Source organism: Homo sapiens, chromosome 17 (genome assembly GCF_000001405.40).
Source record: "Homo sapiens chromosome 17, GRCh38.p14 Primary Assembly".
NCBI classification, from domain to species: Eukaryota; Metazoa; Chordata; class Mammalia; order Primates; family Hominidae; genus Homo; species Homo sapiens.
Genome location: NC_000017.11, coordinates 62067104 through 62094852, shown reverse-complemented (window position 1 = coordinate 62094852; position 27749 = coordinate 62067104).

Sequence of the window (27749 nt, the reverse complement as noted above, 5' to 3'; positions counted from 1 at the left end):
CGATTCTCTTGCCTTAGCCTCCTGAGTACCTGGGATTACAGGCACATGCCACCATGTCCAGCTAATTTTTGTAGTTTTAGTAGAGACAGGGTTTCCTCATATTGGTCAGGCTGGTCTTGAACTCCTGACCTCAGGTGATCCACCTGCCTCGGCCTCCCAAAGTGCTGGGATTACAGGTGTGAGCCACCGCACCCAGCCTAATTCAATTTTTTTGTAAAGAAAATTGCTTAAGATAAACATGACAACCTGGAGTCTGGCATAAGAGTCAGTGCTGTGTTGAAACATATGCACTTGGGCCCAGACCAAGGACTGTCCCAGAGAATCCCTGAGAAGCAAACTGCATGAAAACTATAACTGATTTAATCCTAACTAGAGCTATGATACTTTCCTGCAAAGAAAGTGGCACAGTTTCCCTAAGCCTCACTCTGGCCATCATTTGAGTGATAAACACAGCCCTGTGCTCTACGCAAAACCAACCCTGCTCTCTGCCCTTCTCCCTGCTTCAAGTTCCTGAATCAAACAAGTGCCCTCTAACTTTCTCTTTCACAACGAGAAAGTTCTCCATGGATGAATTCCTTCTACATTTAGATTATGGCTCTGGAATATAAAATTTATCCCCCTGTGATAAACAGGTCCATTCTGTATAATGTCTGTTATGCTGTAATTTTTTCCTTCTAAGGGAAGCTTATTAATTTGAATTAAACTGCTGGTTGCTGGCCAGCCAATGTATTAATTGTCCTTGGTCAAATGCCAATCTGTAGTTTCATTAGCTGTATCTGGACTTTGCGGGGAGGGAAAGGTCATGTGGTATTAAACAGGATGGCCAGTTCATTGCTGCTGCTCCTGAAGGCAGCGAGTTCACAGAGCATGCAGCAGCACATCCTAGGGCTTTGTTTAAACAAATGGGCTGAGTACCCCAGAATGTACCTGCAACACTTTTGTAATTATTTGATTGTTGCCTCTCTGACTAGATAATCAAGTGCATGGGGGCGCATTATAGGTGCTGCATATTTTCAAATTAACAAATAAATGCATAAATAAAGTTGAAAGGCTATGGGGTCAAGAGAAGCTGGGGAAGTCAAGAGAGGACTTGAATGAATCAAAGGTTTGGCTAAAGTCAGGTTATGAGTAAGCCTAGTTATGAGTAAGCAGAACCTATGATGCAGAAAAGACACAGATGAGATGGTATGAACGCCAGTCTGTTGTGAGCACAGAGTGTGGCAGACACAAAGGGAGTGTCTGAGTCACATAAGAGTAAAGATTCACAAAATCCCACAGCTAAGGTCTTGGAACTGCCTTGAATTGATAGCCACCTTCTTAGCCCTTTCTTCCTGACCCTGATTGCTCAGCCTTTTCTGGGTTTCCATGAATATGTACCTTTACAATCAACCATTTATTACTAAAGGTGACTTGAATGAATTGCCATTTCCTGGGAGTCTCAGTTTTAGGCACCCCTAGGCACAGCACATGAGCCCTGAGGAATCCAATTATTATATATCCCATGAAGCACATTATCCGTTTCTGTGGCTAGAATCATGGCCAGCTCATGAGATGGCCCGACATATTTGAATTCAGTGTGCAGACACAGCTTAGGCTCAACCCAGAACCCCTGCCACACATACCGTGTTTTATCACCACACATTTTAAGAAAATGCTCTTATCACTCTTGAGCAAGAGCAAATAGGTTTGTTTGGCCAAATCTGTATTTTTAAATTGAATATCATGAATAAAAAATAAATATTATTTTGGAATAATACTTAAGAGGAGTTAGGAAGATAGATCATTTTTTATCAAATCATCATCCACACGTATTGCTTGGTTATGAATCATCTAGTCATACTGTCAATTACCCTCATGGCCTTGAGCCCTTTTCAGTGCCTGTATATGTTAGTTTTCTGTTGCTGCTAAAACAAATTGTCACACATTTAGTGGCCTAAATAACACAAACATATTATCTTGGTGTTCTGTAGGTTGGAAGTCCGACACAAACCTCACTGGGCTAAGATCAAGGTATTAGCAAGGTTTCATTCCTTTGCAGAAGCTCTAGAGAACCTATTTCCTAGACTTTTTTTTTTTTTTTTTTTTTTGAGATGAAGTCTCACTCTTGTCCTTCAGGCTGGAGTGCGATGGCGCGATCTCGGCTCACTGCAACCTCTGCCTCCTGGGTTCAAGCGATTCTCCTGCCTCGGCCCCCCTGAGTAGCTGGGATTACAGGAGCCTGCCACCATGCCCAGCTAATTTTTGTATTTTTTTTTTTTTTAGTAGAGATGGGGTTTCACCATGTTGGCCAGGCTAGTCTAGAACTCCTGACCTCAGGTGATCCACCCGTCTTGGCCCCCCAAAGTGCTGGAATTACAGGCGTGAGCCATTGTGCCCCGCCGACTTCTTTATTTTTTGAAGAAATGGGGTTTCTTGCTGAAGTGCAGCGGCACAATCATAGCTCACTGCAACCTGGAATTCCCGGGCTCAAGCAATTCTCCCCCTCAGCCTCCCGAGCAGCTAGGACTACAGGCACACCATGCTTATTTTTACAGAGACAGGGTCTTCCTATGTTGCCCAGGCTGGTCTTGAGCTCCTGGGCTCAAGCAATCCTCCCACAGCACTGAGATTTCAGGCACGAGCCACCAAACCCGGTCGGTTCCTAGCCTTTTCTAGCTCCTAGAGGATATTTTCATTGCTTGGCTCATGGTTCCTTTCTGTTTTCAAAGCCAGCAGCAGTGAGTCCTTTTCACATACACATCTCTTTGACCCTTCTCCAGTCACATCTCCCTCTGACCTCAGCTGGGAAAGGTTCAGTGCTTTTCAGGACTCATTGGTTAGGTTGGGCCCACCCAGAAAACCCCATGTCAAGGTCCTTAACCCTAACCACATCTGCAAAGTCCCTTTTGCCAAGTAAGGTAATATATTCACAGACTCCAGAGATTAGATCGTGGCTGTTTTGAGGGAGCAATTACTCTTTCTACCATACCATAATTGCAAATTTCTCTATGTTCTTAAGAGAGCACCTAGGATCAAGATAGCAGCCAAGTGTGTCTAAAAAGTCCAAGTAGGTTGCTAGATGGAGGGAACCTCACAATAAGAAATAAGATACAGCTCTTTCTTTTTTTCTTTTTTTTTTTTTTTGAGACGGAGTGTCACTCTGTCGCCCAGGCTGAAGTGCGGTGGTGTGATTGCGGCTCACTGCAACCTCTGCCTCCCAGGTTCAAGAGATTTTCCTGCCTCAGCCTCCCGAGTAGCTGGGACTACAAGTCCACGCCACCATTCCTGGCTAATTTTGTGTATTTTTAGTAGAGAAGTGGTTTCGCCAAATTGGCCAGGCTGGTCTTCAACTCCTGACCTCAGGTGGTCTGCCCACCTCAGCCTCACTCCCAAAGTGCTGGGATTAGTGTGAGCCACTGCGCCCAACCAAGATACAGCTCTTTCAATCAAGGATCAGCAGAAAGAAAATAGAAAGACCACTTACTGAGTGTTCTTAGCTTCAATGTGTCAGGCATGGTGAGATGTATCTCATTTAACCTTCATAACAACTCTTTCCAATAGATATTATCTCCATTTTTCTAGTGAGGAAACCAAGACTCAGACTGGTTAAATAATTTGTACAAGTCCGGGCATAGTGGCTCGTGCCTGTAATTCCAGCACTTTAGGAGGCCAAGGCTGGTGGATCATCTGAGCCCAGGAGTTTGAGATCGGCCTGGGTAACATGGCAAAAACCCGTCTCTTCCAAAAAATACAAAAAGTTAGTCTAGCGTGGTGGTGTGCGCCTGTGGTTCCAGCTACTCGGGAGGCTGAGGTGGGAGGATGGATTGAGCCGGGGAGGCCAAGGCTGCAGTGAGCTGAGATCGTGCCACTGACCTCCAGCCTGGGTGACAGAGGGAGACCCTGTCTCAAAAGTAAATTTAAAAATATACATTTGGCATTGCACATCTAAAAGGAAAACTTGACCCCAGCACAGAATATTTCCTCTATTTCCCTGTTTGGACTATAACCAGGAAGACTGCTAGATACACCACATAATTTTTTCAGAAAGTGACCATGGATAATCCTACTGTTTTATTAACTGGGAAGGCTATGGACCTGAGGACTGCCCATGGGGGATTTACTCATCAGATCCATGCTCCGATCAAGTCCTCTCTTTCTATCAACGACACACAGGTAAACCTGGATCCAAGAAGCCTGTGAAGACTGTCCTGAAATATTTTTCCTGAGACCCTTGCAATGTCTCAGCCCCACTCCTATCCATCCAATTACTATTGCCTGCAAGATTATAGACCGGGCTCGCTACAGATGCATTCTTACCAAGTGAGAGAAATAAATAGCTATTGAAGCTGAGAGAGGATATTGCTTCTGCACTGCGAGCTCTCCTCTCCTGGCTCTGGGTACCTTGCTGCTCTCCCTCCAATTCTACCTCTCCTTCCACATTTTCTGTGACCCTCTCTGAGGCCAGCTCTTTGACGGATCAATAGCTCTGCTCCCTGCAGACTGTTTGCATGTACTTTGGTCACACTATCTTGTTCTGCCCTCTGATATTTATTTACTCCTGCTTTCTGTTGATTAATTGGCCTTTGTGTTATTGCTGCTTAAACCCTTGCGTTTCTTTTTGAGGCCTTGTGCTCTCAGACCCTCAGCCTGCTGCCACATTCAACATAACTACCATCTCCTTCTAGAATTCTATATAGGCAGATCCAACATATACTACTTGGAACTAGCTTCTCTTAGGGCCTACTACAATCCAAAGCTGTTTATTGAGACCAGCAATACTCTAGGACTGTGACTTTCTTTTTATTATTTCAATTTCTTAATATTTATGCCTTTTATTGTGAAATGCAATTTTGGTGTTAAATTTGTTTTCTTTTTTTTTTTTTTTTGAGAAGAAGTTTCACTCTTGTTGCCCAGGCTAGAGTGCAATGGCACGATCTCGACTCACCACAACCCCCACCTCTCTGGTTCAAGCAATTCCCCTGTCTCAGCCTCTCAAGTAGCTGGGATTATAGGCATGCACCACCATGCCCAGCTAATTTTGTATTTGTAGTAGAGACGGGGTTTCTCTATTTTGGTCAGGCTGGTCTCAAACTCCTGACCTCAGGTGATCTACCCGCCTCGGCCTCCCAAAGTGCTGGAATTATAGGCATGAGCCACCGTGCCCGGCCTAATTTGTATTCTTGAATTGCATTCTTCTGTACATCAGAATGTGCTTCTTTGCAGAGTTTGCTATTTATGCTTCTCTTGGCTGACACTCATAAAGAGGGATTCATTTATGTACTTCTCAGCAAATGCATTCATTTTTTTTTTTTAGATCAGCTGGACTCCTTAACACCATTCAGTAACTGGGAAGGTAGATAATGACTGTTCTTATAACAAAGAGCCCAACAATAACAGCCAGCATTTGTTAAGTCGCTCATATGGGCCAGATGTTATCTTCACATAATATTACATAAACCTCTCAACAACCCTTCAAGACTTGATCCCTGTTTTACAGATGAGGAAACTAAGGCTTAGAAAGGTTAAGTAACTTGCACAAAGTCTCCTAGCTAATAGGTGGTAGATAGATGCAGGATTTCAACTCCATTTTGTTGGTTTCCAAAATGCAGACTTCCACCACCCTTTATTGCTGCTGTTGACTAAGATCTGTTTGCAACATTTTAGAAAGAGAATATCAAATAGCCAGGTAAGCAGCAAGAAAGAGCATAGAAACAAAGGAATTCTGATTATCCTCTCCTGATGGTATAAAATGAAATAATGATGGCCAAGTAGGGTGGCATCCTAGAGCAACCAGGGTAGGGTGCCTGTTGTCCTTACTGTCCTAGAGGGGTGCCAAAGTATAGAACCAACATATATGGAAAAACAACAGGATTAGAAACAAAGGCTAAAGAAAAAACTAAAGCCTGCAGGAATTCCCAACATGGAAGACATACTAGGGATCTCTTTATAAGACTCCCAAGCTGGCCGGGCGCAATGGCTCATGCCTGTAATCCCAGCACTTTGGGAGGCTGAGGCGGGCAGATCACCTGAGATCGGGAGTTCGAGACCAGCCTGACCAACATGGAGAAACCCCGTCACTACTAAAAATACAAAATTAGCCGGGCATGGTGGCGGATACCTGTAGTCCCAGCTAGTCAGGAGGCTGAGGCAGGAGAGTCGCTTGAACCCGGGAGGAGGAGGTTGCGGTGAGCCAAGATCGTGCCATTGCACTCCAGCCTGGGCAACAAGAGCAAAATACTGTCTCAAAAAAAAAAGAAAAAGAAAAAGAAAAAAAAGATTCCCAAGCCAACTTGCATGGATTTGCCAAGTACAATAACATAGTCCAAAAGGGACCAGACTAGAGCAGGGATGGAGTGTCAGAGAAGGTGTACAGGGGCTTCAGCAGCAAAGAAATGATCTTGAATTCTGAAGCAATAGGCTTGCTTGTTTCCAGCTGCTGCTGCTGCTGCTGCTGCTGTTGCTGTTGTTGTTGTTGTTGTTGTTGTTGTTGTTGTTGTTGTTGTTGTTGTTGTTGTTTTAAATCCAGGATCCCCATCCTGGTGGGGTGACGGTGACTGAAGGAGAGGAATATAGTTAACCTATAAGGCGTTGGGAGTCATGGGTTGGGGCTGGGATGTCGTTGGCTAAAGTATAAAATTTTTCACCCCAATAGGAGGCCCAAACTGTAGAAGCCAGAGAGCTGAAAAATATTCAAGGAAACAAAATTCTAGAAGCTGGAAGGAGAGTCTGGAGGTAAAATGTGAATGGAGAATGTCACCAAAACAAACAGCCCAGAAAGGAGAGTAGTGGAAACAGTACAGAACTTTTGTCTATAGCAGCTCAGAACTTTTATAGCTCTTGCCCATTCCATAGAGGCTAAAAAAAAAAAAAAAGCCCTATAGAAAGCCTGTGATTGTTCATTCCCAGGCTCCATTTTCTTCCAAAACCACTCACTCTGTCCCAATGGCCTCCATTTCCATCCTGTTGTCATGTACCTATCTTCTGCTGTTCTGCCTAACCCTTTTGGTGAAGTAGTTCTCTAAGATACTCTCCCTGTTCTTCTATTCCATCTTCAGACCTTGACAGTGTCCTTTAAATTTTCTGTGGCCCTATGCTCTGCAGCCTGCAAGCTGTCTCATCCAGCCAATCTGGTTAACTCATCTTAGGACACCCTCCAGATCCTTCTCAGAGCTAGGCCCACAGTGATGTTCCTTCCGGTCCACCTGAGAACCAAGAGTTGGAGAGCCGTATAATGTTGGCTGTGAACCATCCCACTGGTCATGTCCCACCAAATATCATGATGTCCACTTGTACAGGGGACAGGTATCCATTACAGCAGAAGAATCACACATTGCTAGGTTTTCCCGAATGACAAATGGGAAACAAGAAAATTCATTTACTCAGTCACTAACCTTGGGTATCCTTTATAGCTACATTTTCAGGAGAAAGCAAGGACATTTTTCTTTCTGTCATTCACTTTATTCATGTATATCCATATTTAGAAAAGTACATGAATTGCAAGTATACAGCTGGATGAATTTTTGCAAAGTGAATGCACTGATCAGTACCCAGATCAAGAAACACAACATTACCAGCACCCAATCGTCTGATGCCCCCACCTGATTACTACTCCCCGTATGATAACCACTATTCTGACTTGTAATAACATTGATTCATTTTGTCCGTTTTAGATTTCATACAAGTGGAATGTATATTATGCATGCTTTTTTGTGTGGCTTTTTTTGTTGAGTATTGTGTTTGTAAGATTCATCCAGGTTGTGTATAACACAGTTCATTCTTTTTCATTACTATATAGTCTATTGTATGAATATGCTATTTTTAATCCATTCTACTGCTGTTGGACATTTGGAGATTCCAGTTTTTAGCTATTATGAGTAATCCTTCTATGAACATTCTTGTGCATGTCTTTTGATGAACATATGTGCGCATTTCTGTTGGGTATGTATCTAGGAGTAGAATTGTTGGGTAAAAGTATATGCATATGTTCAGTTTTAGTAGATACTGCCAAACAGTGTTCCAAAGTTGTTGTAACCAAGGAGATTTTCTTATACTTCCAAATCTCCTGGAGTCAGAGGAAAGGAGTACAGAGGCGGGCAGGTAAAAATTTTGCTGGTAGTGCCAGCAAGTACAGTTTAAAAGCAACTCTTGGCCAGGCGTGGTGGCTCACGCCTGTAATCCCAACACTTTGGGAGGTCGAAGTGGGCGGATCACCTAAGGTCAGGAGCTCGAGACTACCCTGACCAACATGGTGAAACCCTGTCTCTACTAAAAATACAAAATTAGCCAGGTGTGCTGGCACATGCCTGTAATCCCAGCTACTCAGGAGGCTGAGGAGGGAGAATTGCTTAAACTCAGGAAGCGGAGGTTGCAATGAGCCAAGGTCTCGCTATTGCACTCCAGCCTGGACAACAAGAGCGAAACTCCGTCTTGGGAAAAAAAAAAAAAAAAAAGGCAACTCTTCTTTCATCCCTGCCATTGTTTTTTCCAGATAGAGTTTCTTTCCCAATGCATAGGGCTTAGACATTACATGCCACCCAGGTCCAGTTGGCTGGTGCAATTCTGCAATACTGGAACTTAGTATGGAGAACTTCAGCTAGTCAATATGGGATACCAAGCCAGAGGAGTTAGTATAGCTGAAAACTGGGCAAGGATCAAAGTCCAAGAGGCCTCAAGAGAGGTCCAACAGGTTATGTAGTGAGGGTGACAGGAACAAAAGAGGGAGATGTATAGATCCAGCTGGATTGTAGAGCCACAGATCCAGGGAGAGGAGCAAAAAGAACAAGCAGGTGAAGAGTGAATGGAAACAGGTTTGTGGTTCATGACTGGCCTGTACGCACCATCTGGGGGTGGAATGGCAATGGTCAGCCAAGTTTAAAGAAATGAAAAAACAAAACAAAACAATCTCATCCCACTGAAAACCAAAGCTGAGTAAGCCTTGTCTGGAAACTTCTTTTGAGGATAATTGCAAACTTCTGGGAACTTGAGTGGAGAATGTGGGGGTGGAACAAATATAGTTTTTCGTCAGAGATGTAATGTTTGGGTAACACACGTTTCTCCAGGCCAGTCTAGTGTGGCAGTACAATTGGATACTACGGACCATAGCAGCCCTTACAAGGAGGTCATTAACACCACAGGTCCCTTCTGTATCTCTCAAGGATATACGGAGGTAGGGGAAGCCTCTTGTGCACTTCTGAGTGGCTACTTCCTGACTCTTATCACCAGTCACATCCGGCGTGCAGCCACTTCTCTGCTGAAGTGGAAAGAGATACTTTCCCTCCACCTGTTCTACAATCAAGCCACAAAAAAGACTGACTTTGGGCCATCTCTCCTTGGGTGCCTCTAATGGTACAGCACTTTCTTTTTTTTTGTTTGAGGTGGAGTTTTGCTCTTGTTGCCCAGGCTGGACTGCAATGGCGCGATCTCAGCTCACTATAGCCTTTGCCTCCTGGGTTCAAGTGATTCTCCTGCCTCAGCCTCCCGAGTAGCTGGGATTTCAGGCATGCGCCACCATGCGTGGCTAATTTTTTTTTGTATTTTTAGTAGAGATGGGGTTTCTCCATGTTGGTCAGGCTGGTCTCGAACTCCTGACATCAGGTGATCTGCCCGCCTCGGCCTCCCAAAGTGCTGGGATTACAGGCATGAGCCACCGCGCCTGGCCCTACAGCATTTTCATTTGATTTGGTTTTTTACTTTAACAAAAAAAACAACTGAGGGAACAATGTGAGTGAATTTACAATGTGCCATGCTCCAAAGGCATCTCTTCTCATTTTTGCCAGGTAACTCCCCCCACCCACCCCTGTGATTCCAAATACTTACTATGTAACCTTGAAAAAGTTACTCAATCTCTCTAATATTTAATCTTCTCATGGATACTAGGGTAAGAAAAATATCTACCTTTTGGATTTATCATGAGGATTAAAAAAGACAATGTGTACAGGGTCTAGGAAAGGGGACACTTTCAGTTTCTTCCTTATCTTCCTCTTGTTCTCCCTCCTCTCCATGAGAGAAGTGGCTAATCTGATTGGTCAGATTCTAAGACATTAACTGGGCTATTTTTTCCCAGTGTTCAGCATCATGCAGGATGTGCTTAGGTCTTGCACGTGGGTGTGGCTCCCTTTGGGCCTCTTCTTCCTTCTTCCCCATGATACTGCAGTGACACTCTAACGTAGGCCTGTTCTCAGGCTTCGAGAGAGGGAATAGCCAGGTGGATAGTCATACTGTGAAGGTGCAGCCTGTTTCAGTGGGTGTCCTTTTTTTTTTTTTTTCTTCTTTTTTTTTTCTTGAGATGGAGTCTTGCTCTGCCCAGGCTGAAGTACAGTGGTGCTATCTTGGCTCACTGCAGCCTCCGCCTCCCAGGTTCAAGCAATTCTTGTGCCTCAGGCTCACGAATAGCTGGGATTACAGGCTCCTGCCACAAAGCCCAGCTAATTTTTGTATTTTTAGTAGAGATGGGGTCTCACCATGTTAGCCAGGCTGGTCTCGAACTCTGACCTCAGGTGATCTGCCCGCCTTGGCCTCCCAAAGTGTTGGGATTACAGGCGTGAGCCACCATGCCTAGCCTGGTGTCTATTTTGACTAAGCAGGGTTCTGGCTGCCCTGGTGGTGGTGGTTTTAATTTACCTTCTCCACTGTCTCATGTGTGTAGATTTCTCCCTCTAGACCTTGGTGAGGGTGAAGGAGGAGGTAATGGCTGTAGTCTAAGGTAGGATTCTGATATGTTTGGGCCTCTTGACCTAATATTATCTAATAGGACTCCAAACCAACCATAACCTTTAACATTATTAACATTAGTAGTGTTTTTGTTATCTATTGCTGCTTAATAAAAACCACTCCAAAATGTAGTGGCTTAAAACAACAATCTTTTTTTTTTTTTTAATTTCTCATGATTGTGTGGATTGACTGGTGGGTGCTGTGCTGTTCAGTTCTGCTGGTCTCATTTGTGTGTCTCACATAGCTGTAGTCAGGTGGCGGTCAGGGCTGGCATCTTCAGGATGGCCTTGCTCACATGTCTGACACTTTATCAGTGACATTTGGAATGCTGCGCTCAGCTGGATGCTGGTAAGGCTAGACCTTCTCTCTCACAGTATACTCCCAGGGAATCTGTTTCTCCACATCAGTTTCTCAAATGGTAGCTCAGGGCTCCTAAAAGCATAAAAGTGGAAGCTGTTGGGCCTTCTTAAGGCTTAGGGCTGGAAGAGGCAACGAGTCACTTCTGCTACATTCTGACTGGCCCTTATTCAAGAGGAGGGGACTACTTAGGGTGTAAGTGCTAGTAGGTGAGGTTGATTGGGGGCTGCAAGAAATAGTATTATCTGGCCGGGCACGGTGGCTCACGCCTATAATCCCAGCACTTTGGGAGGCCGAGGCAGGCAGATCACGAGGTCAGGAGATCAAGACCATCCTGGCTAACACGGTGAAACCCTGTCTCTACTAAAAATACAAAAAAAAATTAGTCGGGCGTGGTGGCGGGTGCCTGTAGTCCCAGCTACTCGGGAGGCTGAGGCAGGAGAATGGCGTGAACCCAGGAGGCGGAGCCTGCAGTGAGCCGAGATCTCACCACTGCACTCCAGCCTGGGTGACAGAGTGAGACTCCGTCTCAAAAAAAAAAAAAAAATTGTAGTATCAGTTTTATCTGTAGTTCCTAGGTTTAGTAAACATATGCCAGAAGTTTCCTCTCTTACATCTTCGTGTATAGGGCTAGTCATATACCTTAACATATCCGGTCACTGTCTTTTGTAAATGGTTTAATTTATAATAATGCAGATAAAGCCTCTGTAGACCTGTCTGCTCAAATTTGACCTCCTATGGTTGTGGAGAGGATGAAATCAAATAATCTATTAGAAGATACCAAGAAACCAATTTAAAAAAAAATCATCTATGTAAATTGCTTAGCACTATGGGCCAGTAAATGTTCAATAATTATATTTATTATTATTTTATTATTACCAGAGTCCCCAAGGTATGGTGCTGGCTATGGTAAAAATGTAATAAGATGTCTTTGAGAAGTCATAGTTCCCCAGGGCACTTGATGATTAATATAAGAAAGTAGGTGGAATTGTTTTGTTTTGTTTTGTTTTGTTTTGTTTTTGAGATGGAGTCTCGCTCTGTTGCCCAGGCTGGAGTGCAGTGGGGCAATCTTGGCTCACTGCAACCTCTGCCTCCCAGGTTCAAGTGATTCTCCTGTCCCAGCCTCTGGAGTAGCTGGGATTACAGGTGCCCGCCACCAAGCCCGGCTGATTTTTTTATTTTTAGTAGAGACAGGGTTTTACCATGTTGGCCAGGCTGGTCTCAAACTCCTGACCTCAAGTGATCTGCCCGCCTTGGCCTCCCAAAGTGCTGGGATTATAGGCGTGAGCCACCGCGCCTGGCCTTTTGCTTGTTTGTTTGTTTGTTTTTAAGACAGAGTCTTGCTCTGTTGCCCAGGCTGGAGTGCAGTGGCGTGATCTCGGCTCACTGCAACCTCTGCCTCCTGGGTTCAGGTTCAAGTGATTCTCCTGCCTCAGCCTATGGAATAGCTGGGATTATGGGCACAGGCCACCATGCCAAGCTAATTTTTGTATTTTTAATAGAGATGGGGTTTCACCATGTTGGTCAGGCTGGTCTTGAACTCCTGACCTCGTGATCCACCTGCCTTGGCCTCCCAAAGTGCTGGGATTACAGGCATCAGCCACCATGCCTGGCCAGTAGGTGGAATTGTCAACCTGAGATAGTGGAGACTGAACAGGTTATCAGCTGCCCACACATAAGATGAAAAGGGAATCAATGAGTGCAGTGCAGGAAGTGTCAAAACAAGAATAACAACAACAAGAAGAAATAAAAATAGTTGGCCGGGCACAGTGGCTCACGCCTGTAATCCCAGCACTTTGGGAGGCTGAGGAGGGTGGATCACCTGAGGTCCGGAGTTCGAGACCAGCCTGACCAACATGGAGAAACCCTGTCTCTACCAACAATACAAAATTAGCCACGCATGGTGGTGCACGCCTATAATCCCAGCTACTTGGGAGGCTGAGGCAGGAGACTGGCTTCAACCTGGGAGGTGGAGGTTGTGACGAGCCGAGATCACACCGTTGCACTCCAGCCTGGGCAACAAGAGCAAAACTCTGTCAAAAAAAAAAAAAAAATCCTTGTCTAATTCTAGAACTGATACTTTGCATACACCATAATGCCTCTGTTTTCAAATCACAGATGGAAAGTGCAGTCCTTTGTCTTTGGAATAATCTCATAGTGGGGAACTATATAAAGTTTGAGGTTGTTCCTGTGAGAAGAATACATCCTTTTGTTAATTAAAATGTAACATTGATTTTGGTCCTATACTTTTAGTAATTTATTCCACATTGAAAGATAAAAGTTTTGAATGGATGCAGCCTGGGCTTTTTTACAGAAAACAAAAGTTATTAAATATTTATATTGTTTCCATGCTTTAAAAAAAAAAAAAGTCTTCTGGCCAGGCACCGTGGCTTATGCCTATAATCCCAGCACTTTAGGAGGCCAAGGTGGACAGATCACATGAGGTCAGGAGTTTGAGACCAGCCCGGCCATCATGGTGAAACCCTGTCTCTACTAAAAATACAAAAATTAGCCAGGTGTGGTGGCATGTGCCTGTAGTTTCAGCTACTTGGGAAGCTAAGGCAGGAGAATCGCTTGAGTCCGGGAGGCAAAGCTTGCAGTGAGCCAAGATCATGCCATTGCACTGTAGCCTGGGTGACAAAGCGAGACTCTGTCTCAAAAAGATAAAAATAAAAAGACATCTTCTAAAATCAAGCATGTGGAATATTACACATACCTATCCCAGAAAAAAAAAAAAAACAGATGAATTTATTAACGGCGAGTAGAGAATGCCAAAACTAATATCAGACACTGCTTTTCTCCATTAATGCTGTATTTTCAGCCTTTGGACCGGTCCTTGTTCTTGAGAGATTCCTGACTTGCTTATTTTTTGCAACAGGAAAGCCGTACATTTTTCGAAAGACAGAAAGCCAGATGATTGGCTGAAATTACACTGAAATTTTAAAAAATCTGACCAGATACTGTGACGTTTTCAGTATGGTGTACTTGATTTGGCTACCCAAGATGTATCTATTTTGTAAGTTGCTTTATTGAGGAAAAGAGTATCAGCAAAGGAACCTAGAAAGGTAAAAAACATGATGTGGAAGGTAGCCTCCAAAGTAACCTTGAATGATCTTTACATCATAGTATTCCCCTTCCACATTGTATCAGGGCTGATTTGTATGACAAATAGATTACTGCAGAAGTGACAGTGTGGGACTTCTGAGGCTAGATAAAAAAGGCGACTGTAACTTCCGCCTTGGCATCTTGGATCCCCTCCTCTGGGGAAAGCCAGCTTCCGTGCACTCAAGGACCCCTGGAGATAGATCCATGTGAAAAGAAAATGAAGCCTCCTGACAATAAACAGCACCAACTTGCCATTTGTATGAGTGAGCCCTCTTGGAAGCAGATCTGCTAGCCTGACTCAAGCCTTCAGATGACTGCAATCACAGCCAACATCTGAATGAATCCTAGGAGAAATTCTAACTTAGAACTGTCCAGCCACAGAAACTATGAGATAGACATGTTTATTGTTGTGACCTGGCGTGGTGGCTCACACCTGTAATCCCAGCACTTTGGGAGGCCAAGACGGGCAGATCACTTGAGGCTGAGTTCAAGACCAGCCTGGCCAACATGGCAAAACCCCGTCTCTACTAAAAATACAAAAAGAAATTCGCTGGGTGTGTTGGTGCGTGCCTGTAGTCCCAGCTAGGGAGGCTGAGGCATGAGAATTGCTTGAACGTGGGAGGTGGAAGTTGCAGTGAGCTGAGATAGTGCCACTGTACTCCAGCCTGGGCGACAGAGTAAGACTCTGTCTTTAAAAAAAAAAAAAAGTTTTTTGTTGTTTGAGCCACAAATCTTTGACATAATTTGTTTTGCAGCAATAAATAAGTCATATATGTGCTGCCATGTAAATGTTAGTTTTCAGAAAGGATGTTTGTTCTTTTCCTAATCACTAGCTAATTCTTCCCCTGAGATATACTTCCATCTTCCTTTCTTATCACCAATTATTTTGAAAAGAATTCCTTCATCTTTTAATTCCACAGACAATGCTGTGTTTTAGGGGGTATGTTGAAATATTTTCTCTCCCAAGGGTCTCCCCATTTTTTTTTTTCTGTTTCTTCTACCATATTGAAAACATAAGGCAGACAATATGAGGCTTCTAAAGTTTGGACCAAGGGTCTTCAACCCTATTGAACCAAAGGTAAAGGCAAAAGAAAGAGAGAGGTTTAAAATGTAATTCTCAGCTGGACATGGTGGCGTGTGCCTGTAGTCCCAGCTACTTGGGAGGTTGACACAGGAGGATCATTTGAGCCTAGAAGTTTGAGGCTGTAGTGCACAATGATAACCCCTGGGAATAGCCATTCCACTCTAGACCAGGCAATACCATGAGACTCTGACTCAAAAAGAAAAGCAATTTTCCTTTTGTATTAAGTAGTTCAGAGTATAAAAGAAAAATAAAGTGTATATTACTGTGGTTAAATGATTTAGCTCAACAATTCTATCTTTTAACTTAGCAGGAGGCAACCTTCATTGACTCTCCAATGCCTATAGGATCAAGTGTAAACACGTTACTCTGTATGGTTCAGCATCTACCCCCTACCTTTTTTTTTTTTTTTTTTGATACGGAGTTTTACTCTTGTTGCCCAGGCTGGAGTACAATGGTGCGATCTCGGCTCACCGCAACTTCCGCCTCCCGGGTTCAAGCGATTCTCCTGCCTCAGCCTCGTGAGTAGCTGGGATTACAGGTATGCACCACCACGCCCAGCTAATTTTGTAATTTTAGTAGAGACAGGGTTTCTCCATGTTGGTCAGGCTGGTCTCGAACTTCCAACCTCAGGTGATCCACCCGCCTCAGCCTCCCAAAGTGCTGGGATTACAGGCATGAGCCACCGCACCGGGCCTCTACCCTCTTTTCATCATATTTTGTACTCTTTTCCTTCATATACTTATTGTTTCAGTCAAACTGAACTGCGATGTTTCTAATTTATGCCTTTTGCATGCTAGCTATTAGTTGCATGAAAAAAAACAAAAGAGGACTGTGACCAAAACAGTATGGGAAATGCTGCATGTTATAGATTCCTCTGGGAGATTTACAATGCGCATTAAAAGCCCTGAGAAGTTCTTTTGTAAGAAATCTGTTTAACTTTGTTCAGCTCAATAATACTTAGTTAACTATTATATAATTCAGGATCCAGAAAACAGTACCTATGCCAAAGAGTTTAATACAAGGAATAAAATAATGAGAGAAACTAGTTTAAAATGTAGGGGAGGAATTCAAAGGGCAAACAGAGGGATGGTGGGACAACCCAGAGATGAACAACATGAGGGAGATGCCGCAAGGATAAGGGAAGAGGAATTGTTACTTAGATGTGCTACAGATTTTTCTCACAGATTCTCCAGTCCCAGGAAAGCCTTGAGATAACTGTAGCCCTAGGTGACAATTTGACTGCAACCTTATGAGAAACTTTGAGCCAGAACTGATGCAGGGCAGCAAGCCCTAGAATTCGGGCTTAGCCTGGGAGGGTTCTTTGCTTGACACAGGAAAGAATTCAAGGGTTGGCCAGTGGTGTTAGCAACATTTTTTGAAGCAGCAGTGTACAGCAGCAACAGAGGCACACAATAGCAGCTCAGAGGCAGTTCTGTAGTCACATTTACATCCACTTTTAATTACATGCAAATTAAAGGGTGGTTTATGCAGAAATTTCTAGGAAGAGGGTTGCCACTTCCAGTCACCAGGTCATCATGCCATGGAAAAGGGTATAACTACTTCCGCTTGTTGCTATGGCAATGGTAAACTGATATGGCACACTGGTGGGCATGTCTTATGGAAAGCTACTTTTCCCTTCTCCCCCTTCCTTTATATTTTTAAAATGTATTTAATTTATTTAATTTTTTATTTTTTTCTTGAGATGGGGTCTCAGTCTGTCACCCAGGCTAGAGTGTAATGGCACGATCTCAGCTTGCTGCAGCCTCCACCTCCTGGGCTCAAGCAATCCTCCCACCTCAGCCTACCTAGTAGCTGAGACCACAGACTTGTGCCACCACACCTGGCTAATGTTTTTTGTATTTTTTTGTAGAGATGGGTTTTGCCATGTTGCCCAGGCTGGTCTCCTGAGCTCAATTGGTTCACCCGCCTTCGCCTCCCAAAGTGCTAGGACTACAGGCATGAGCCACCACACCAGCCAACCCCCTCCCTTTAAGGTAGTCCTCAATCTGGTCCAGTGTCCGAGTTTCCAACTCTGGAGTTAAGTCCTGCTTCCTACCTCAGAACCACTGAGCTAATCCAAGTCCCAGATTCCCAGTTCTCAGAAATTGTGTGAGATAATAAGTATTTGTTGTTTTAAACTGCTGAATCTCAGAGTAACCTGTTACACAGAAATATAGATAACTAATACAGATTTTGGTACCCGGAAGTAGGGTTTTGCTGGAACAAAATTCTAAAATGTGAAAGTGACTTTGGAACTAGGCAGTGGGCTTTGAGCAGAATATTAGTCAAAGTCTAAAGTACCTCACAGAAGCTATTAATAGAAACATCATGATCTTTGAAATGGCTGCAGGTGAAGGCTTGCAAGAAAACGCGGTAACATTGCCCCGTGCTGTTGCTCACGTCTGTAATCCCAGCACTTTGAGAGGCCATGGGGGAGCGGATTTCTTGAGCCCAGGAGTTTGAGACCAGGCTGGACTACATGGCAAAACCCCCTCTCTATGAAAAAAAAATACAAAAAATTGGCCAGGCACACTTGTAATATCAGCTACTCGGGAGGGTGAAGTGTGTGGACTGCTTGAGCCTGGGAGATAGAGACCAGCCTGGCCAACATGGAGAAACCTCATCTCTATTTTAAAAAATACAAAAATTAGCCGGGTGTGGTGGTGCATGCCTGTAATCCCAGCTACTGAGGAGGCTGAGGAATGAGAATTGCTTGAACCCAGGAGGCAGAGGTTGCAGTGAGCCGAGATCGTGCCACTGCACTCCAGCCTGGGTGACAAAGACTCTGTCTCAAAAATAAATAAATAAACAAAAATCAAATCTCAGGATGATTTAAGGTTGTGCCTCAGAGTATTATTCAGTGAGACAAAAAGCTCTGAAAGAGAAGAAATGTGTGCCTCCCATACAGTATTCTCTTAGTAAAATGACAAAACTGCTAGAAAGCTTAAGGGCATCTTATCAGAAGCTCAAGGTGTGGAGTAGAGCTTACCTGAAAGAGATTTGTGGGTATAACTTTTGTCTAATGAAGTGAACCCCAGTAAGATTCACAGACCTACATGGGTGGTGGGGTGGTATTTCAGAATTAAAATGGGCCAGTTACTCCTTGGCACCTGCCATTTCCCCCCCTTTTTGAAAAGGAATAACTAAGCCTCTATCCTGCTACACCTGTCTCATCGTTGTATGTTGGGTATATAGAGGGGAAGATAAATTGTCTCTTCGGTGTCACAGGTGGAGAGGAACTGTACTCAAGGAGCTCTGCTTAAGGAGTTTTACCCGAGGAGCCTCATCTGCACCTGGACTTCAAGCTGATGCTGTAAAGAGGGGAGACTTTTGGTGACTTTGGGAAGAAGTGAGTGTAACTTGCATGTGGGAGCAACAAATCATTGGGGACAGATGGTGGACTGTGGTAGCTACCCTCCAAAATAGCTCCCTATTATTATTATTATTATTTTTTTTTTTTGAGACAGGGTCTCACTCTGTCACCCACCCAGACTGGAGTGCAGTGGTGTGATCTCAGCTCACCACAACCTCTGCCTCCCAGGCTCAAGTGATTCCCCTGCCTCAGTCTCCTGATAGCTGGGATTATAGGCGTGCACCACCACTGCCCAGCTAATTTTTGTATTTTTAGGAGAGATGGGGTTTCACCATTTTTGTATTTTTAGTAGAGATGGGGTTTCACCATGTCAGCCAGGCTGGTCTTGAACTCCTGACCTCAAATGATCCACCCTCCTTGGCCTCCCAAAGTGCTGGGATTACAGGCATGAGCCAGCGCGCCCGGCCAGCTCTCAGTTATTTTTGCCTCCTGGTATTCACAGCCTAGTGTAGCCCCTGCACACTCTGTATCACAGTTGGTCTGTGACCAATAGCATGTGGCAGAAGTGATGGTATATAACTTCTGAGATTAGGTTACAAAAAGACTGCAGCTTCCATCTTGGTCTTGGACTCTCTCTGTCTCCCCCTTCTTCTTCCTAGTGGAGAAGCAAGCTGCGTTGTTGTGTGCAGCTCTGAGGAGAAGCCCACCTGGCAGAAGGAAACTGTGTCCTGGCCACAACCGTGTGAGTGAGCTTGGAAGTGAGTGCCTCAGTCCTACGTTAGCCTTGAGAGGCCTGCAGCCCCAGCCCACATCTTGACTGAAACCTCATGAGAAACCCTGAGCCAGAACCACCAGCTGAGTCACTGACAGGTTACTAAATCTCAGGAACTGTGTGAGATAAAATGCTTGTTGTTTTAAGCTGTGATGTTCAGAGATAATGTATTATATGGCAATAGATAACAAACATACTATACCCCAGGAGCCAGGACTGCCCAACAGAGTTGGGACTGTGGAGAGAAGAACTGTTCATTTGCAGTTCGCGCCATAAAGATACAGCCAATACTGAGGCACAGGGAGAGGGAAAATCCTAGCTTCCTCATGGCCCCTCATTTGCCACCCTTGCCTCCATTGGCCAAACCAAACCACAAGGAAATTGATAAGGGAGCCTGAGAAATGTCATTTCCAAGGAGCAGCCTCTAGCTACAGTAAGCCTGGACAACATGGTGAGACCTTGTCTATACAAAAAATTTAAAAAATTAAGTGGGCATGGTGGTGCACGCCTGTGGTCCCAGCTATTCAGGAGGCTGAGGTAGGAGGATTGCTTGAACCCAGGAGGTCGAGGCTGCAGTGAGCCATGTTTGCACCACGGTACTCCAGACTGCACTCTAGTGTGGGTGACAGAATGAGACCCTATCTCAAAAAAAAAAAAGGTCAGTCATGGTGGCTGACACCTGTAATCCCAGCACTTTGAGGGGCTGGGGCAGGCAGATCACTTGAGGTCAGGAGTTGAAGACCAGCCTAGGCAACACGGTGAAACCTTGTCTCTACTAAAAATACAAACATTCAAAAATTAGCCGGGCACGGTGGTGGGCACCTGCAATCCCAGCTACTTGGGAGGCTGAGGCATGAGAATCGCTTGAACCCAGGAGGCAGAGGTTGCAGTGAGCCAAGATCACACCACTGAACTCCAGCCTGGGCGACAGAGCAGGACTCTGTTTCAAAAAAAAAAAAAGAACAGAGGCAAATTAACAGCACAGCCAAGAACTCTTTTACATGGAATTCCCAGTAGCATTCTTCAAAACCTTGTCCTCAAACTCCAGTTTGGGAAACACTAGCCTAAATTGCTCTTTTCCACATCTCTGCAAGTTCCAATCTTATTCATTAATTCGTATCTATTTAAAATGCAAAGTTTTTCTCCACTAACCTTTTCTTCCTTGTGACTTGGGGTAGCCCCCTCTTCTTTCAATTCCACAACATTTGATCTATATCAATTTTTCGCATTTTCAAATAAAAATTGTAGTTATTTATTTCATATCTTATCATCTGAGAATTAAAAATCTTCTTGAGAGTCAGCTCTATTTCTGATGCATTGTTTCATATTGCTCAATCATCACAGTACCTAGCATAGAACCTTGCACATAGTAAACATAAATATTATTAAATGAATGAATGAAGTAATGTCAAAACCAGTGGTAGAAATGTTATATAACTCTAGTACTTTTGTTTATGTTACTATTTATTTATTTATTTAGAGATGGAGTCTTGCTCTGTCACCCAGGCTGAAGTACTGTGGTGCAATCTCGGCTCACTGCAGCCTCCACCTCCCGGGTTCCAGCGATTCTCATGCCTCAGCCTCCCGAGTAGCTGGGATTACAAGTGTGCGACACTACACCTGGTTAATTTTTTTTTTTTTTTTTGCAATTCACCACATAAGTGTATTAAAAAACAAACCATATGGTTGTCCCAATAGATACAGAAAAGGCATTTGAAAAAGTTCACCTTCGGGCCATGATAAATATAGTCAGCAAACTAGGAATAGAAGGGAACTTCCTCAAATTGATGAGGGCCATCTACAAAGAACCTATAGATAACACCATTCATAATGGTGAAAAACTGAATACTTTCCCACTAAGATTGGAAACAAGGTAAAGGTGTCCACTGCTACCATTTCTTTTTTTTTTTTAGTATTTATTTATCATTCTTGGGTGTTTCTCGGAGAGGGGGATTTGGCAGGGTCATAGGACAATAGTGGAGGGAAGGTCAGCAGATAAACAAGTGAACAAGGGTCTCTGGTTTTCCTAGGCAGAGGACCCTGCGGCCTTCCGCAGTGTTTGTGTCCCTGGGTACTTGAGATTAGGGAGTGGTGATGACTCTTAACGAGCATGCTGCCTTCAAGCATCTGTTTAACAAAGCACATCTTGCACCGCCCTTAATCCGTTTAACCCTGAGTGGACACAGCACATGTTTCAGAGAGCACGGGGTTGGGGGTAAGGTTATAGATTAACAGCATCCCAAGGCAGAAGAATTTTTCTTAGTACAGAACAAAATGGAGTCTCCTACGTCTACTTCCCTCTACACAGACACAGCAACAATCTGATTTCTCTATCTTTTCCCCACATTTCCCCCTTTTCTATTTGACAAAACCGCCATCATCATCATGGCCCGTTCTCAATGAGCTGTTGGGTACACCTCCCAGACGGGGTGGCTGCCGGGCAGAGGGGCTCCTTACTTCCCAGACGGGGCGGCCGGGCAGAGGCGCCCCCCACCTCCCGGACGGGGCGGCGGCCGGGCGGGGGCTGGCCCCCACCTCCCTCCCGGACGGTAATTTTTTGTATTTTTAGTAGAGACGGGGTTTCAGCATGTTGCCCAGGCTGGTCTCGAACTCCTGAGCTCAGGCAATCCACCTGCCTCGGCCTTTCAAACTGCTAGGATTATAGGCGTGAGCCACTGTGCCCAGCCTGTTTATATTACTATTACATCCCTTTAAACTCTTGGTTGAGTCAAGAGATTCTAGAATAATCTTTCTATTTTATTGGCTGGTCACATCTTTTGAACTCCTTTGAACCTTTTCTTGGGGGGAGAGAACAGTAAAATTACAAATCAGTTTGTATCTGGGCAGGAATAATTATCCTGTGAGACCAAAGTTCTGCCTGGAACTTTTTAGCAGGAGGAGCACGTTCAAAGAACTACACTTGTCTCCTCTTTCAGCTTTGGTCACTCTTAGAAAAATCGTCTGCTCAGTAAGAAAAGCATACTCAGCCTTTGCAAAAGTGATTTCTTCTACTTCCATATCTTCCTTGTCGATGCCTTGACTGAGGGAATAGATGCAAAACAGAAAGGATGTTTTTAGACCAGCTCTTCTTAATTAGCTCAGGTCTCTTCACTTCCTGCCTAGATTACCAAAATGTCCTCAACAAGTTTCCTGGTATCTTGTTTCTAAAAACAAATCTTAGCTCATCACTCTCATGTTTAAAGTCTTTCAATGGTTTCCAACCTAGGCAATATACCGAGACTTCATCTCTACTAAAAATTTTTAAATTGGCCAGGCATGGTGGCTCATGCCTATAATCCCAACACTGGGAGGCCAAGGCGGGTGGATCACCTGAGGTCGGGAGTTCGAGACTAGCCTGGCCAAAACAGTGAAACCCGTCTCTACTAAAAATGCAAAAATTAGCCAGGCGTGGTGGCGGGCGCCTGTAATCCCAGCTACTTGGGAGGCTGAGACAAGAGAAACGCTTGAACCCGAGAGGTGGAGGTTGCAGTAGGCCGAGACTCCATCTCAAAAAAAAAAAAGTTAAAAAATTAAGCTCAGGAGTTCGAGACCAGCCTGGGCAACACAGTGAGACCCCATCTCATTTTATTTTAAATTATTTTTTAAAAGAAGAAAAGAAAAAAAATTTTAATTAGCTGGGCATCGTGGCACTCGCTTGTAATCCCAGCTACTCAGGAGACTGAGGTGGTAGGATTGCTTGAGCCCAGGAGACTGAGGCTGCAGTGAGCTATGATCGCACCAGCCTGGGCGACAGAGACCTTGTCTTAAAAAAAAAAAAGTTGTTTTTCTCTTCCGGATAAAATCCAAATTCTTCATGATTTGTTCCTGGGGTTACTTCACCAGCCAAATCATTTCCTACCAACACCAAGCTGTTCAGGCCTCCCCATCTTCCTTCTGTGCCTGTCCTTCTTCTCCCTTTCAATCTTTTCCTTGCTCAACCCAACTCATCCTTCAAGACTTGGTTTCAACTGTTTTCCCTAAGAAGTTTCTTTAGAGCTTCTCTTGGTAGATGAGGCTTCCTTAGCATACTTTACAGACCTCTTCGGCCTGAGGCCAAAGAGGCAGGGTGCTATCTAAACCTCAGTATCTCAAGCTAGAAAATTGGGATAATATGGTACTTACATCAGAAACTGTGGCAAAGATACTTGACACCGTGTCTGATATATATTGTCACATATTAGGTGTTAAATCACAGCAATTACTTAAGCCAATCTCTTCCTCATGTTTGAGAAAATAGATCCAGAGAGGTCAAATGACTGGCTCAAGTAGGAGAAAGATAGGGGAGGGGAATTTCTGATTTGCATATGGTTTACAAACGTAATTTCAAAGTAAGAAAATTAGGGGAAGTAGACTTTAATATTAAAATGAAACAATTAAAATGAAATAAAACTTGAGGTTGAGGGTGGATGCTACACTACTGAGAAAAATGGCAAGTCAGCAACTTTTGAGACAACTCAGGATATTCGATGCTTTGAATTAAAATGTTTTTTTAAGTGTCTCAACCTGCTGATTTGTTTTAGGTCTGTTTATTTCTATATTCAATGAAGTGGTGTCTGTGCATTCAAGAAATAAAATGGTTTGTAACTTCTTAACCTTTTTTTCTATTGAATTAAGTACAACATTAAACCATTAAAATGACCTTAAGAAAATCAATATTGTCCCCAGGCTCAAGACCACTCACTCCACAGCTTAATTGGTCCTTAGCTTTCAGCGTTTGACTCTAGACTTGTACTCTCCAACACAGTAGTCACTAGTTGCAAATGGCTAATGGCCACTTGAAATCTGCTAGGTAAAACTGAAATGTGCTATAAGTGCAAATAAGTGTGGATTTTGAAGGTTTGGTTAAAAAAAGGAATGCAAACTATCTCAACAATTTTTATATTGACTACATGTAAAATGATAATGATTCTGACATACTGAGATAAATAAAATATGTACTTCACATTAATTTTTACCTTTTTTTTTTTTTTTTTTGAGACAAAGTCTTACTTCGTTGCCCAGGTTGAAGTGCAGTGGCATGATCTCGGCTCACTGCAACCTCCGCCTCCCAGGTTCAAGCGATTCTCCTGCCTCAGCCTCCTAAGTAGCTAGCTGGGACTACAGGCATGCACCACCACACCCAGCTAATTTTTGTATTTTCAGTAGAGACGGGGCTTCGCCATGTTGGCCAGGCTGGTCTTGAACTCCTGACCCCGTGATCTGCCCACCTCGGCCTCCCAAAGTGCTGGGATTACAGGCATAAGCCACTGCGCCAGGCCCTAATTTTTACTTCTTTAACAGGGCTACTGAAAAATTTCAAGTTACTTATTTAGCTCTCATTGTACCTTTTTTAAAAATTTATTTTTCTATTTCAATAGGTTTTAGCTCTCATTGCATTTCTATTGGACAGTGCTGCTCTAGACCTTGCAGATTTTTCAGAATCATCTGATTCTGAATCACAATATGGAGCATCAGGGGCCCTTTCCTGGACTTGTCTGTCTCAGGTGATGTAACTCTGTCACCTTCCTGGAGGCTAAGTGGTAGTTTGTAAGCCAGTGCCTCTACCATCTCATTCAGAATGGAGACCCTACAAGACAGAAGGGGTTACAAAACAGTTTTAAATGCAGATCATTGAGTGAATCCATATTTCAAAGAACAGAAGACAGTCGGTGATTATTGACCCAGATTATTGACCCAAAGTAACCTCTAAAATTAACCTTAAAATTCCTGATTGGCTCCTATTTTACTTGGATTATCTCTTTTAATCATTGCAACAACTCTGACATTTAGGTGCTATTATTACATACACATTCAACAAAGGGGTAAATTGAAGTTAGGGAGCTAGCAAGCATGGAGTTCTGCTTGTTTGCTTGCTTTTTGAGACAGGGTCTCACTCTGTCACCCAGGCTGGAGTGCAGTGGTGCAATCTTAACTTCCCAGGCTTAATCAACCTCCCCACCTCTACCTCCCAAGTAGCTAGGACTACAGGCACGTGTCACCACGCCCGGCTAATTTTTTTATTTTTTTTGCAGCGGGGGGTTTCGTCATGCTGCCCAGGTTGGTCTCAAACTCCTGGGTTCAAGCAATCTGCCCACCTCAGCCTCCCAAAGTGCTGGGATTACAGGCATGAGCCACCGTGCTGGGCCAAGTATGGAGTTTTGACCCCAGTTGGTCTAACTGTTCAAGTGCCATTATAAGCAAGATTATGAGCTGCTTGTATATGCTGTATTTTGTCAATACATGACCTGACACATACTAGATGGTTAATACATGTGGGTAGTTAAGTGGTCATATAGTATGATCTCAACCATGTAGGAAAAAGATACATAGGGAAAAGTCAATACATCAAAATGTTAAAAAGTGATTAATTATGAATGGTAATGATACGGACTTTTTTGGGTAATGTACATTTAAAATTTTCATCTTTACGCTTTTATGTATCTGCCAAACTTTTGACAATGTGTGTGTAATGTTTTTATTTATTTATTTTGAGATAGAGTCTCACCCTGTCACCCAGGCTGGAGTGCAGTGGCGTGATCTTGGCTCACTGCAACCTCTGCCTCCCGGGTTCAAGCAATTCTCCTGTCTCAGCCTCCCAAGTAGCTGGGACTATAGGCATGTGCCACCACGCCTGGCTAATTTTTGTATTTTTAGTAGAGATGGGGTTTCACCATGTTGGCCAGGCTGGTTTTGAACTCCTGACCTCAGGTGATCCACCTGCCTCGGCTTCCCAAAGTGCTGGGATTACAAGCGTGACACAGCACACCTGGCCGACAATATGTGTGTAATGTTTTTAGTTATTTCCATTACTTTTTAAAAATCCCATATAACTCCTGCCCCCACACATACACAGCCTCCCTCATTATCAACATCCCCCACCAGGATGGTATACCCAAAGTCCGTATTTCCATTACTCTCTTTTTCTTTTTTTTGAGAACGGAGTCTCACTCTGTCGCCCAGGCTGGTGTGCAGTGGCGCGATCTCAGCTCACTGCAAGCTCCGCCTCCCGGGTTCACGCCATTCTCCTGCCTCAGCCTCCCGAGTAGCTGAGACTACAGGCGCCCGCCTTTTTGTGTTTTTAGTAGAGACAGGGTTTCACCGTGTTAGCCAGGATGGTCTTGATCTCCTGGCCTCATGATCTGCCCGCCTCGGCCTCCCAAAGTGCTGGGATTACAGGCGTGAGCCACTGCACCCGGCCTCCATTACTCTTTAAATCACACAAAATGTCATTTTTACCGAATGTAAGTGGTTACTGATACGTTCTTTGTGGGCTGAAAATATTTATTTCTTCTCTTTCCCTTCTCCCAATGATTCCATTCCCCTCACAACTGGGATCCCCCCCATTCTAATCTGCTTCTCCATTCTCTCAGTCCTGTCTTTCTCTCTCTCTCCTGCTCCCTTCTGCGATCCTCCATCAGACTTTTTCTTCTGGGTCTTCCTCCCTTCTTCGCTTCTGTCTCCTTGTCTCCCTCTTCTTTTTGAAAAGATTGACATTCAAACAGAAAGGTCAATCAAATGTTACCTCCTACTGGTAGGTTTCAGGTATATTCTACCTGCCATTGGAATCCTGAGGATGGTGCTCAAGTCAGGGGGTGGGGGCAATGGGAGGGCAAGACTTCTAAGGAGAATGGAGACCCCTTTAGATGTGAGGAGGGCATTTCAGCCTGAGGAAAGCAGCGGAACAAAGATCTGAGGAGTTTTTCAGGGAACGGGAAATGGGCAGAGGAGCGCTTACCTCATTGGATCTGGGGATTGCTGTCTCCTGGTGCTGGCACTCGGTTATAAAGGATGCCAACCTTAGTTGATTTGAGCTCCTGGATTGAATTAGTCCTGGTTGCATAATTGACTTTGATATGTGGACTTTGGGTTCGAATTAGGTTTAATAAGATTTAACTGCTTCAAAGGGCTTTATAAGAATTCATTTTATCCTTCAAATCTGATTTCAAATGCTACCTACTTTATGACAACTTCTCTAAGTTTGATGCTCTTCTTCTAGTGCACTTACTATGCCATAGTAGGTACATACTTTATTCAAGCAATTACCCCCATTGTATTTTACCTTATTCTGTAGGAAATGTTTCCTTTAGTGCCTCTCTTCAGGAATCTTGAGGGACAGGCAGGTATCTTATTCCTATTTGTATCCTAGGCCTAGCACAGAGCAGGAACACACTCAATTGAGCCAGCAGGTTCTCAATGATTTTTAAAATTACATTAATAATTAACATTAAGTAAGCACTGTGGCAAGCACTGTATCTACATTGTTTCATTCACCAGTCATTTTAGAAGAAAAGTACTTTTATTACCCCCATTTTACAATAACCGAGAGAAAGCAAAATTAATTTGATCTAAGGTCAAATATGATCTAAGACTAACTAGTGAGGGGCAGAACTTTTTCTCCAGGCTTTGGGCTTCAGATCTGGGCTCTTCACCACCACAGATGAACAAGTGGA